This window comes from Homo sapiens, chromosome 17 (genome assembly GCF_000001405.40).
Source record: "Homo sapiens chromosome 17, GRCh38.p14 Primary Assembly".
In the NCBI taxonomy this organism is placed as follows: Eukaryota; Metazoa; Chordata; class Mammalia; order Primates; family Hominidae; genus Homo; species Homo sapiens.
The window spans coordinates 8,550,040-8,564,847 of NC_000017.11; the positions used below are offsets into that span (position 1 = coordinate 8,550,040).

A 14,808-nucleotide genomic window follows, 5' to 3' on the forward strand; every position below is an offset into this window, starting at 1 on the left:
ACCTCCACCTCCCAGCCGCCTGCCTTGGCCTCCCAAAGTGCCGAGATTGCAGCCTCTGCCCGGCCGCCACCCCGTCTGGGAAGTGAGGAGCGTCTCTGCCTGGCCGCCCATCATCTGGGATGTGAGGAGCCCCTCTGCCTGGCTGCCCAGTCTGGAAAGTGAGGAGCGTCTCCACCCGGCTGCCATCCCACCTAGGAAGTGAGGAACACCTCTTCCCGGCCGCCATCACATCTAGGAAGTGAGGAGCGTCTCTGCCCGGCCGCCCATCTTCTGAGATGTGGGGAGCGCCTCTGCCCCGCCGCCCCGTCTGGGATGTGAGGAGCACCTCTGCCCGGCCCCGACCCCGTCTGGGAGGTGAGGAGCATCTCTGCCCGGCCGCCCCGTCTGAGAAGTGAGGAGCCCCTCCGCCCGGCAGCCGCCCCGTCTGAGAAGTGAGGAGCCTCTCCGCCCGGCAGCCACCCCGTCCGGGAGGGAGGTGGGGGGGACAGCCCCCCGCCCGGCCAGCCGCCCTGCCCGGGAGGTGAGGGGCGCCTCTGCCTGGCCGCCCCTACTGGGAAGTGAGGAGCCCCTCTGCCCGGCCACCACCCCGTCTGGGAGGTGTGCCCAGCAGCTCATTGAGAGCGGGCCAGGATGACAGTGGCGGCTTTGTGGAATGGAGAGGCGGGAGGGGTGGGGAAGGGATTGAGAAATCGGATGGTTGCCGTGTCTGTGTAGAAAGAAGTAGACATGGGAGACTTTTCATTTTGTTCTGTACTAAGAAAACTTCTTCTGCCTTGGGATCCTGTTGATCTGAGACCTTACCCCCAACCCTGTGCTCTCTGAAACATGTACTGTGTCCACTCAGGGTTAAATGGATTAAGGGCGGTGCAAGATGTGCTTTGTTAAACAGATGCTTGAAGGCAGCATGCTCCTTAAGAGTCATCACCACTCCCTAATCTCAAGTACCCAGGGACACAAACACTGCGGAAGGCCGCAGGGTCCTCTGCCTAGGAAAACCGGAGACCTTTGTTCACTTGTTTATCTGCTGACCTTCCCTCCACTATTGTCCTATGACCCTGCCAAGTCCCCCTCTGTGAGAAACACCCAAGAATTATCAATAAAAAATAAATAAATAATAAATTTAAAAAAAAAAAAAAAGAATTTACTCCTATTGCAGTTATTGCCAGTCTGAAAGCCTGAGCATTTTCTTCTCTTCAGTGTTACATACTGCATCATCTTGAATTTTTAGTCTCTCCTTGGCAATAACTCTATTTTTTTGTTGCTTGATTTTTCCCTTGCAGGTCATTCTCTGATTAATTTTTGGGTTCAAAGGTTTCACAGATGTCTGTGGTTAGCAAAAGCCTGGATGCCAGATGAGAAAACTTTTACTGTATATGTGTCTACTTTGATATCTAGATAATATATATAATAATCATGCAGAAACACTAAATTTGAGAATCAGAAGAGATGGGAAAGTTATACATCTTCTCCTCTCCCTCAATATATTTCTAACCCAGCAAAATTCTGACCCAGACCTGAGCTCTCCTTTGTACCTGCCCAACTCTAAACTTCTAGTCCTTGTGATCCCTGACATTCAATCAATCAATATCCACCACAGGCTCTTTCTAGTACTAGTGGAAGCAATAACATATATTCAGTTGTAAATCTAGAAATAAAAATATTTATTCTACTTAATTTCATTAGGTAAATTTCTTTTCCCTTACTTTCATATTTTAAAACGTTGAAACAGAGTTGTAAAATACGCATCATTTGTCTTCTAATTTAAAAAATTTTAAAAAAGAAATAAAAGTACAAAAGATTATATTATCTACAATACCTGCCGCTTAAAATAAAGTACTTACCCCATGGCATGGAAGTTCAATTTCATTTTGATTTTCATGATTTAACCAGCTGGAAATTTGGTGTTTTGTGTGTAAAAAACTGTTTCCCAAAATTGTTTTTTCTCAAAAAAAAATTAAAAGAGATATTCCAGTGAATATAAAATAGTAAAAACCTTTGTAACTTACACTTTAGGTGTTCTCCTGCTCCAGATAACAACTGGTAAAAGATATGAAAAGTACGTTCATCTTTTGCTTGACGAACAGCACGAGACTTTTCCAGAAGGTCTGAGCAAAGACAGTTAAGAATTAAATTATTTAATATAATTCTTAAATAAATAAAGGCCCTCTTTCAGCGTCTGTAAATTTAAATCATAAAACATCTTCTTTCTCTGATTATTATATAAACTATCCTGCAATGAACTATTCTAAATGACTGTCTTCCATCTGTGAAAAAAGAAAATAGGTGCAACTTACGTTCCTCACTGATCTTCCAGAATCATTGGTCTGGGAAGGAACTTAAAGATTATACGTGCTTCCCTCACTCAGCTCCACTCTACCCCATCCTTCCCCTAACTTGGATTACATTCAAAGAATACCACACTATACGAGGAACTGTAAGAAGCTATTGAAAATGAAGTACAGTTGTTTAAGGCAGGAGAAGCTCTATAATACCAGATTAACACAATTTTATAAATAAGGAAGCCATGGTATAAGGAAATTAGTCAAAATAATATAGTTAATAAGTGGTACAGTTAGGAACCAAAAACTTGGCTTGACTCCAAAATGCATGATGAGAGTGCCCACAATGCTACCCTATTGAAAGCCTCCTATATGAGAGGCACTCGCCCTTCACACTCAGCAGCACATGTAACTTTCCCATATGCCTTGACAGCTACGATGAGATTAAGCACTAGTCTTCCCTCTGCTGCTCTGAAGAACCGGTGCGGCCAGTACCTACGCCTGCTGCTACCCACCCTGCCTGGGCTTCCCAGGGGGCAGGTGGCACAGTCCCCAGCAGCTCCTGCATTTCAGACCACTGCACACCCAGCTGTGTATCTTATCTGGGGCTCAGATCCACAGTTCTTGATGCTCCCGGAGTTCCTATGGGTTGACAGTCACACCGGCATCTCAGAGAACGTGTATCACAGCTTTGGAAGATGTTTGCCTCTCTTGAGGTAAACCTTCCCTGGGGCCACCAAAGTAAATTAATTCTGTATGTGTCAGATAGCCTGAATTTTAAGTCAGACTATCCCACACATCCTCCACGTCTGGTGAAAGACACACTCATATGAATCATGCTCTGACACACCTATATGAAGAAAGCTGAACTGCAGATTCATTCTCCTGTCATTTTCAAGTATTTCCAGATTTTGCTGGCTGTGAGTCCATTTGGAGGCATAAAATACTGTTCTTAACCAGAAAATCATGGTCTGTCCCTTGAAGGATAGAAATAATGTATTTCTATCACTGGAGATTATTCTATTAAGTACCCGAAAACTGTCATCTATCTTTCTAATTGGCACACTATCATTCAGAATCATTTCTATTTTATTACATCTATACTCAAATGTGTTTTACCTGGGTATATATGTGCATACACATATATAAACCTTCTTATGGCCATTCTATGCAGGTGACATTTCTTAGGACTATTCTATGTACTTGACATTTTATTTTTTTCTCCAGCTTTATTCTACTTAACACTAATTGAGATTACTTTAACTCTGTAATCTTATAAGGATGTTTTCAATGATTACATGCTCATCCTTCTAATATCAGAAGTAGATGGTAAAAAGTGGGCTAACAGCAATAGGGGGAGGGCAACTGCATTCATCTGAATGTCCTATATCACACAAACACTGTGGCACTCTCCACTTCCCCAGCCATGTGAATAAGTTATGGCCTGGTTTTACAAACAACAAAACAACTTGGAGTTAATATTCACTAGTCGAAAGTATTTGAACAAGGCATGCTATCTCTGGGCTCAAGTTTTATCATCTGGATTTTGGGAGTGATATCACAGACGGTTGCCATGGGGTTGTAGGAAGACTAAATCCTTCTTTATTTTGGATTATACATTTATGAAAAAGGATACATGTTTCAATGTTGGCCCCAACGATATAGCCAGTTACATCAAAGTTGATCCGAATAAATTTGCCCTGAAAATAAATTAAAAAGAGAAAATTGAAAATAAGTAAGTACATACTGGATATGAACACTAATAAACTAAGAAGACAACAAGTATCCATGAATTAGTTACAATAATGGATCTTATATATTGCCTCAAACAAAAAGAAAAAAGAAGAAAACAGGCTGTGATACATTTCAAAAAAGTAGCAACAGAATAGGCTATTTTCCTGGACTATAACATAATAAAATTAGAAATTATTAATAAAAGAAAGTAGTGAGATCCCAGTCATTCAGAAGTTTTTAAAAGCTCTTCTAAATAATCTGAAATATGAGAGATTTTAATAGTTTTAAAGGACCACTCTATCCAGCACTATAATGGTAGATTTAAAAATCTGAATAGTATAAATGATTTCCTAGAAAAATAGAAATCCATTCAAGAAAAAAAAAACCCGAAAACTTAACCCATAAAAATAAAAAATAGTGAAACAGAATTATTTCTTTAAAAATGCTGGATTAGTCTTATGAAACAATTTTACAAATTTCTAAGGAATATTTGATTTCTTTACTATACATAACTGTTTTAGGGAAAGAGGAAAATCGTGATTATTTCATCATTCATTTTATAAAGTTGTCATAACACTGAGTACCCAATCTGATAAAGATATTACAAGGAAAGCAAGCTGGGCGTGCTGACTCACACCTGTAATCCCAGCACTTTGGGAGGCCAAGGCAGGTGGACCTCCTGAGGTCAGGAGTTCAAGACCAGCCCGGCCAATACGGTGAAACCCCGTCTCTACTAAAAATACAAAAAAATTTAGCTGGGCATGGTGGCGCATGCCTGTAATCCCAGCTACTCGGGAGGCAGAGGCCAGAGAGTCACTTGAACCCAGGAGGCGGAGGTTGCAGTGAACTGAGATCGCGCCACTGCACTCCAGCCTGGGTGACAGAGCGAGACTCCATCTCAAAGCAAAATAAAAGCAAATATGGTATGGTTATATCTTACTTATAAAAATATATATAAGGAGAATCGCTTGAACCCGGGAGGCGGAGGTTGCAGTGAGCCGAGATCACACCACTGCACTCCAGCCTGGTGACAGAGTGAGACTCTGTCTCAAAAAAGAAAAAAAAAGAAACAAGAAAAAAAAATTAAACATGTTAAACATTTTGCAAAACAAACATAATGATCAAGAATGGTTTATTCTAGGACTGCTAAGAAGGACTGACACTAGTAAACATACCAGTATTATTCATCATATAAACAGTCAAGGGATTGGAGGGCTTCCTTTGAGGAAACTGACAAGCTGTCTCAAGTTTATTGGGAAATCGAAAAGGACTTAGACTAATCACAACAATTCTGAGAAAGAAGACCAGGGCTGGGGGAATCACACTACTTGATTTCAAAAAGCTATAAATTTACTAGGACAGTGTGGTATTGGTGTAAAGACAGAGATACAGATTAGTGAAACAGAAGACAGTCCAGGAATTGATCATGTATGTAAGTTAATTCATTTCAACAAATGTGTCAAGGTAATTTAATAGGGAAAGGAAGGACAGTCTTTTCAATAAATGGTGCTTGAAAAATATGCAAAATGAAACAAAACAAAATTAAAGGAACCTAGACTTTTACCTTACACTACATATAAAACTTAACTCAAAGCAGATCACATACCTAAATACATGGGCTAAAACTATAAAACTTCTCAAAGCAAACAGGAGAAAATCTTCATGACCTTAAATTAGACAAGGATTTCCTAGACAGAATGCAAAAAGCATGAACCATAAAATTAAAAACTGGTAAAATGGATTTCATCAAAATTTAAAACTTTTATTCTTCAAAAGATACCACAAAGAAAATGAAGAGAAGCCACAAACTGGGAGATAATATTTGGGAAACACATGTGATAAAAGGCTTGTTGCCAGAATATACAAAGAACTCTTATATTTCAATAGTAGGACAAACAACCCAATAAGAAAACAGGGTAAGTGATTTGAATAGACACTTCATCACAAAAGATATGTGAATGGCCAACAAGTATATGAAAAGATGTACACTATCATTAGTTATTAGGGAAATCTAAGTAAAAACAGCCACGATGAGACACCACTATATACCCACTAGAGTGGCTACACATTTTAAGAAAGACTAGCAAAGATACAGAATAACTAGAACTATCAGACAACCCTGGTGAGAAGGCAAAACGGTACAGCCAGTTTGCCAGTTTCTCACGGCGTCAAACACAGATTACTCTATGACCCAGCAATTCCATTCCTGGGCGGGGTTTCACCCACGAGAAAGGAATGCATGCATCCACATGGACTTGTACATGAATGTCCCCAGCCACTTTATTCTTAATAGCCCTAAACTGGAAACAACCCAATGTCCACCAACTGGTGAATGGATGAAGAAATCGTGGTATATTCACAAAATGGAACACTACTGAGCGATGACAAGGAATAAACCAGGGACACACCCAACAACGTGGATGGATCTAAAAAGCATTCTGCTGTGTGAAAGAAACTAGACATAAAGCACTACATACTATATGATTCCATGTACTTGACATGCCAGACGTTACTGAAAACTCTAGGGACAGAAACAGGTCAGTGGTTTCAGGGGCAGGGGCAGGAGGAGGGAACTGACAACACAAAGGCAAAAGAAACCTTTCTGGAGTAAGGGAAACATTCTTCCTCTAGAGCATGGTGCTCACTACACTACGTACACATTTATCTAAACGCACTGAACTGTACACTGAAAAAGGTGAATTTTATTGTATGCCAACATTTCAAAAACAATCAAGGGAGAGATCTTAGGAACTCCTAGATAAATGCCAATTTTAAAAATATAACTCAACATCTGTTTTAGACAGATGAGCATGGCCCCTGTGCTAGGATGACATTCGGATCTGTGAAGCATTCTATAACATAATAATAATTCAATTCTGTGTATTTACTATAAACATATTAAGTTAAATATGCTTCCCTATTAAAGTGAAAGCCGTTAGATTTACACTCTTCTGCTTATGGTGCCAGGCAGCTTGCCCATCCTTTTACTTACGACTTTAGGGCCCTTCTCACCCTTCCCAAAGTGTTACTTTTTCCAGTGTATTAATATTTACCTTATATTAAAAAAATGAGTAGTCAGTTTGGGATGCTACCTACTAAAGAAGTTCCTCAGCTATATTTTATTGTATGCAAATTACACCTCAATAGTTGATTTTAAAAAAAGAAAAGAGGAATCACTTTCTAAAATGAATAATCCATTGTATTTTTGCTCAATATTATGAGCATTCATTAAGAACTCACCCCATTTTCCTATTAAAAAAAACCCAAACCAAGCTAGCAAACAAGGTGAAAGGGAATGTGTGTGGGGAGTGTGGGGGAAGAGCCCTGGGAATACACTGACTTCCTGCTTGAGGAGGAACAAACTGTGATCAGCTTGCAGGATTAAGTTCTATCTCAGGTGTGTGTCAAGGAGCTCCTTTAGCACTCCTGGTTCTCTTTCCAAGTGTCCTAACTCTGCCCCACCAAAATGTACCTATTCTATTTCACGTTATCTGACAGCACGGCTTTGCACTAAGAAATACTTGACGAGCTTGATATACTCAGGCACTATGTCGTCATCACAACAGAGGTGCATTCCATGAAGGGCCAGCTCCCAGTGCCACTAAACCACGGAGTGTTCAAGAGGGAGTTGGAGTAAGAAGCAAAGGCATTTTGTGACAAACAGGCTCTTGCTACATCTTACAAAGTCATGAACAAAAAAACCACTGATGCTACATAAGTTATCAAAACAAATGGCAAAAACAATATTACTCTGGACATGAGTCTAACACACGTGACAGTGAAAGTCGACAATGTAATAAAAGATATGAATTTAGGATTTCTTTAGAAGTTAGGATGGTGTTAGTCACCAAACCTGCAATGCCCTCTAGCCTAGATACTGATTTTATGCCATCAAATTTACTGAGGTAATGATTTAAATTCCCCTGGAGACCACAAGGCAAATCCATCATTATGAGGCTGCTTGACTATCAGTGGTGAGCATTTAGTATTTTTCTTCTATAGAGACCTTGTTAATTAAGAGTCGCATAATAAAACTGACAATTTGTTTAGTTAGTTTTGTTTTATGGTGTGGAGAGAAAGTTTTGTTTGGATTTTTGTTTTAATAGGAGAAAAATTTTCCCTTCTTTGAGATAGGCTAAACAAATAAGCACTCTACACAAATAATATAATTATTGGCATGAAGAGATGCTGACCTAATGCTCCCCAAACTTAAGATGAACACTGAGGCTGTGCTTTTTCAACATCTGAAGAACAATGTGGTCTGTGCACTTCCACACATAGCACAGAGGTGCTATGGGAACATAGAGAAAGGAGGAGAGAAGGCTTCACAGAAACAGTGCCAGCCGAGCCTACCAATCTTAGTGTTTACCACATACATTAGCTGCTTCAAGCTAAATGGTATTTCAAAGATAGGTGCTGTGCTTAAGTTCACTTGAAAAAAACAAACAAAAAAAAGCAAAACAAAAACAAAAACACTACAAAGAGTAGGAGTCCTTGGCACACTGCAATCTAATTTCAACTTCTAAGTTGTAACATCTACTATGTTGAAGAGATACAACATTCTGGGTTAATAGCTATTCGAGATAGCAACTGTAGGCACCCTTCTCTCTTCTGCCAGTAGGCTCTTACTTATTATTGCCTTTGCATTGTCAGAATGCAATAGTTGAATATACAAAATTCTGATAGCTCATATTTTGTTGACAAGAGAAAGATCTTTTTTGCTCTGTAATTATAAAACATTTTCATCTTTAGATTTGTAAGCATCAATTAGAATGGTCAACCCAATGACTTCTCTCATTTTATATTATCTATTTCCTTCTAACAATTTTCACATACACACCTGCTTTCTGCATTTGTCCACTTATGAAACTTATCCAGGTACATATTGGTACAGAAACATCATACAAGATTAAAGAATACTGTTATTTTAGCAAAGAGATGAAATAACAGTATTCTTTAATCTTATTGCAAAATACTAAGGAAAATCTTCCTACAGAATGACCACCTGGATGCTAATGTCATGTTTCTTTTTTGCCCTTAGAAATATATATAATTCTTAAGTTTGAGAAAATTCTAGGCTATCACCTGGAGACTCAATCTGAGACTCTCTTTATATAATTGATTTCATCATCATCTTTACAGTCTACCATGCTATCTGTCTCTTTGTATTCATCTTCCGGTTCATCCAATGTTTGTGAAATGTTTTTCTGTCAATTTCCTTCTCACTGACATAATGACTAGAAATTGAAAACTTCTGATTTTTCAACTATGTTCACTAAAAGCTAAAAATAACCTACAAAGATGGTTTCTCTAGTTTTCTTTCATACCTACTTGAAAGACAATGCAATATTTGGGGTGATATAATAAATAAATTAAAAGATGAAGCAATAGTTATTACTGTAGCATCCTTCTAGGCAATCCCATTATTCTTATTATTTTATTCTTTTTTTTAGCATAGTTGAGAATAAATGAGTTAATAATGAATCAATTTCTAAGATGACAAAACAGCAAACTATTTCAAGACACAGAAACAAATAAGATCACTAATACTCCATAATGTATCTTAGATTTACAAAATGCTTCAATGGACCCATATGTAATTACAAGAGAGAATGAACTTCATTCTATTTTAAAAATAAGTATATTTTGTCTTTGTTTTTTGGAAGACCCCTAAGAAAGATTTAAGTTAAAAAGCTATCAATCCTATGAATAGTTAGAACTGTTCAAAAAAGAAACTGAAATTGGGTCCTGATGTTATACTGATGGTTAAAATTCTCCACAAATAATTTTAAACAGCTGTATTATCTATACACTACCTCATTGAGTTAATAAAAATATTGCTATTTTAAGAGACAGTAGTCAAAAGGCAATGTTATTACCACAGAGCTGCTAAGGACACACGGCCAACGTGACTGCCTGGGCAAATGCGTTCTCAAACTTCTCATTTTAATTCTGCGGAAAGGTTCATCAAAATCATATGGTATCACCTAGTTCTTATTTTAAGAAAACATTTCACTAAAAAAAAATTCTTTATATCCAGTAATATAAACTTTTAGCTTTCACCAACATGTATGTTTAACTTCTTTATTAAGTATATATATATCAACATGCGGTTTAAGCTTTCAACTCCGAATACTATTTCCTTTTTTTTTCTTTACCACCTCAAATAAATTAGAAGTTTGAAATTCATCAAACAAAACTAATTCTTTATTTGGGCAATATGATAACATTAATACACAGATAACTTTGAATTCTAGCAACTGTAAAATCTAAACTTAAATGTTATTTACCGTATATTTAGTGAATTTATTTTTCCCTACCTTCACGGGACATTAAAATAGGAAAGGAAGTTAGGTTCAAAGGAGAAATGGGGCTTTGTAGTCATCGCTGCCACCTGAAGCCACCTGCCTCTAGCCATGGTCAACGCCACTGTGTTCTTTTGACATCATTGTTGATGGTAACTCCTTTGGCCCATGCAGCTCCTTCGAGCTGTTTGCCGACAAAGTTCCAAAAACAGTGGAAAACTTTCGTGCACTGAGCACTGGAGGAAAAGGATTTGGTTATAAGGGTTCCTGCTTTCACAGAATTATTCCAGGGTTTATTTTATCTGCCAGAGTGCTGACTTCACACACCATAATAATGCCAGTCCATCTACCAGGAGAAATTTGATGATGAGAACTTCATCCTGAAGCACACAGGTCCTGGCATCTTGTCCATGGCAAATGCTGGCCCGACACAAATGGTTCCCAGTTTTTCACCTGTGTGGCCAAGACTGAGTGGCTGGATGGCAAGCACAAGGTCTTTGGCAAAGTGAGAAGAGGGAGTGAATATCATGGAAGCCATGGAGTGCTCTGGGTCCGGGAATGGTGAGACTGGCAAGAAGATCACCACTGCCAACTGCGGACAACTCTAATCAATCTGCTTGTGTTTGATCTTAACCACCAAATCATTCTTTCTGTAGCTCAGGAGAGCATCCCTCCATCCCACTTGCTCACAATATCCTGTAATCTTTGTGGTCTCACTGCAGTTCTTTGGTTTCCTTATTCCCCTCGACATCAAGCTGGATTGTAGTTAAGTTTAGGATTATAAAATAAAAACTCAGTAACAAAAACAAACAAAGGAGAAATGGGAGAAAATTAAGATTTGGGGCCTCTCCTCTCCGGTCCGTGCCTCCAAGATGACAAAGAAAAGAAGGAACAAAGGTCGTGCTGAAAAGGGCCGCGGCCACGTGCAGGCTATTCGCTGCACTAACTGTGCCCGATGCATGCCCAAGGACAAGGCCATTAAGAAATTCGTCATTCGAAACACAGTGGAGGCCGCAGCAGTCAGGGGCATTCTGAAGCAAGTGTCTTCGATGCCTATGTGCTTCCCAAGCTGTGTGTGAAGCTACATTACCGTGTGAGTTGTGCAATTCACAGCAAAGTAGTCAGGAATCGATCTCGTGAAGCCCGCAAGGACCGAACACCCCCACCCCGATTTAGACCTGCGGGTGCTGCCCCATGTCTCCCACCAAAGCCCATGTAAGGAGCTGAGTTCTTAAAGACTGAAGACAGACTATTCTCTGGAGAAAAATAAAATGGAAATTGTACTTAAAAAAAAAAAAAAAAGATTTGGGGCCTCTGAACAGGTGAGCTGTAGAGAAATGTTCCAAAATAATTCAGACATGTGGTCACTTACTTAGATAAATAAGCAAAGTCACCAACATGCAACACTCTATTCCTCATCAGTTCCCTAGCTTGGTGTCCTTTTCACACCTAGGGTCCATAGTGGCACTAGCCATGATAGTGAGTGCCAGTGAAATATCTTTCGGCTAGATGCAAAGGGCCAAGCAAAGAGCAGTGAAAGAAGAGATGCATGGAGAACAATGATGAAGGAGACAGGGCTGCAGGGGCCTGTGGTGTGGAAGGAGGCAAAAGAGAACGGTATTTCTGAAAATATATTTGGTAACCAATAAATCTCAGTTATAAGCCAAAGCACTAACATGTATTCTATTTTAAAAACACTTTAACAAAACAAAAACCTTATGAAGTTGAAAATTATCAACTTTCTAGCTAAATGACACTCATACTCAGATATTTTACAAGACATAGCCAAGCACTTTGACAACCTGACAAAGTGAAATTTCAGAAGCAAAAATGAAAAACTTTACTGAATATCCCCAAGTGATCTAGGACTTAGATTATTCCCCTTCATGTTGGATACGCTGGCAAATCAGGTAAGATGCAGGCCATGGGACCTGACGTCACTTGAGTGTTGGCCACTTGGCCAGATAAGCAAAGGTGACTTTTCTTTCTTCCTTGGCGGCAGGCCGAGGGGAGAGAATATCTGTTAAAAGTTAAAAAAGCTTTCTCCTCACATCTATAATAAATACTTTCAGAATTAACATTTTTATTGAAACACACATCTAGACTAAATTGGAAAATACGAGTTTTACTTTTAAGTGGGAACGCTATCTTTAAACATTATGTGAAGAAATCTGTGCCGAAAATGCCCACTCCATAATTGATTTGCATAAAGGTCAGATTATGGTACTTAGAATATTCAATCGGAACTTCACCAGTAAAAACAAAAGCATGGAAAACCCCCAAAACGTGACAAGTACCTTGTGTATTAATTACAGCTACACATTTTGATAACGCTTATTGTATACCAATCCAGAAACAAGTGAAATTACACGTGTACTGTGAGAGCTCTCAACAGCAAAGACAACTAGAATTCTCTCATATATAATCAAATATAACTTGTTAAGGATTTCACTCAAAATGTGCAATAGGGAAACCCGGATATTTGATATTTTCATACCCTGAAGAAAATAAAATGAAAATTATCTTAATTAGTTTCAAAAATTTTGTTTGTTCTGAATTGACATCGATTTCTAGAATCTTTTCTGGGGTGATTATAATGTATCTATAGTAACTAAAACTAGATTAGTTATTAGTTAGCAACTTAATTTAGGGGCAATGCAGGTTTGTTTCATATTCTGAACATATTTTCCCCCTTCTTAATTTGGCATCTAAAGTTATTACATGATCTGCAGTATGCATTAAAACACATCAGCACAGATAGGGTGCTATGCATGTGTGTTAGCTATTTGCCCTAAATGAGAAAATCCATTCTAGGAGTAATGAGCTAGCACTTAATCCAAAGGCCAGATGGCCACCTTAAATGCTTTAGCTATCTTAATCTCCAAACCAAACCAGAAGCTTTGTTGTTAGTAAAATGAGTTTTCACATGCACTAAGTGGCCTCATTACTTAGTATAATGGATATTAGAAATCACTAGGGTAACATGAGTGGCATTAAGCCATGGACTGATTAGAAAGAGATATATATTAACTTCAAATAGAGCCTTAAAAAAAGATAAATACATAAATAAAAACAAAGAAAGATATATATAGACCCTCCCCAATCCGGGGTCAAGGGAACAAGTGTTGAGACTCCAGCAAGTCCAGGAGGCTGTATTGTTGGGGGTGCTCCTAGAGCTTGATACTAAATGGCTGTGTGCAGCCAGTGATCTGGAAGATGCTGGTTGCCTGGTGCAGACCATATTCTGTCACTGATACTGTCACATTTGCCTCAGTAAATCTTTCAGGTAAACGTTTGGTTAGAGAAATTAAACAGAGCTGGGCTGCATGCAACTTACAAAACTGTTTTCAGCAACTGCCTTTTGATAAATAGATATGAGGGTGCAGAATCCGGACGTGCTTTCATTATAACCTGGTCGCCAAACTGTAAGGAGGATGCCTAGAGCCCTTACCTAGCTTTAACTGCTGGAGGATACTTATCTACCAAGAGGTACATAATAGTTGGAAATTGCCAGCCTGGCTTAAGTCAACTTGGAAAAAAAAAAAAAAAAGAGAGAGAGAAAGAAAATAAAAGGAAAGAAAAGAAGGATTTGTGGAAATAGAGAAAGTGATTCTAACTAAAACTCTGTGAGGGAAGATGTACCTGCTGATCCAAACAATCATTTTGAAATTGAAGTCCCTGTTTTTAAAGTTTCATTATGAGAGATTCTTTTTACATAAATCTCCTCCATCTGGAACGCATTTTACTTCTCCATAAACAGAGAACTGGACTAACTGTGAACGATTATTTTCTTAAGGGTAATGCTCTCCTAAATAAAGAATCCCTTTAATATAAACCATATGCTAGTATCTTTGAAAGAAAAGATATTCTTCAGGAAATTAGTCGTCTATATCAGATCAAAGAAATGGAACCAAATGGATTCTAAAGCTTATGGAGTTTATAGCCTCAAATATTTTCACTGTAAGCATGTAGCTTATAAATATGACTGCATGAAATTTCACTGTATACACAACTCATTTTTTAACATCGTACTACTCTTGGTATGACATTGATCTCAACCCAAGGCCTGGCCTGCCCACGGAGCAACTGCCTCCCTCATGTTCTCTACCCTTGCTTCTAAAATGGGGGCATGCATATTCTCAGAGGATCTAGCATATGCACTACCTTCCCCGAGCTCAACAACATCATGACATGCCGTTGAAAACATATTAAAGTTAACACCAATATGAAGGTGTGCTCTACAGGGCTAGGGAACCTTAGTTTTGACCACTGGTATATTCCCAGGGCCTGGAAGAGTGTATGGCACTTTGTAGTGTCTGCCACATTTTCAGTAAATGAATTCCATAAAATCCATAAATATACCTGTGGGGCACTATGCTAGGAACCAAAGATACAAAGTCCCTACTGACAAAGATCTTAGACATTCTACTAGGAAAGATAATAAATACACAAAGTAATTAGTTACAGCTTGTGATAGGTGCCATGAGGGA

The 14,808-nt window shown here is 38.8% G+C and overlaps 1 protein-coding gene and 2 pseudogenes across 4 annotated transcripts in view; 2 read left to right on the forward strand and 1 right to left on the reverse strand.

Moving 5' to 3' along the window:
* Positions 1-14,808, reverse strand: part of MYH10 (myosin heavy chain 10) — a 156,514-nt gene that overhangs the window by 75,828 nt on the left and 65,878 nt on the right. For all 4 annotated transcript variants that reach the window (NM_001375266.1, NM_005964.5, NM_001256095.2 and 1 more), the window contains 2 exons: positions 3,916-3,979; positions 2,007-2,105 (listed from right to left, as the gene is read on the reverse strand). In NM_001375266.1, the coding sequence (NP_001362195.1) occupies positions 2,007-2,105; positions 3,916-3,979 (163 nt within the window). The remainder of the gene's footprint in view (positions 1-2,006; positions 2,106-3,915; positions 3,980-14,808) is intronic.
* On the forward strand, positions 10,432-10,923 carry PPIAP52 (peptidylprolyl isomerase A pseudogene 52; annotated as a pseudogene).
* On the forward strand, positions 11,164-11,606 carry RPS26P53 (ribosomal protein S26 pseudogene 53; annotated as a pseudogene).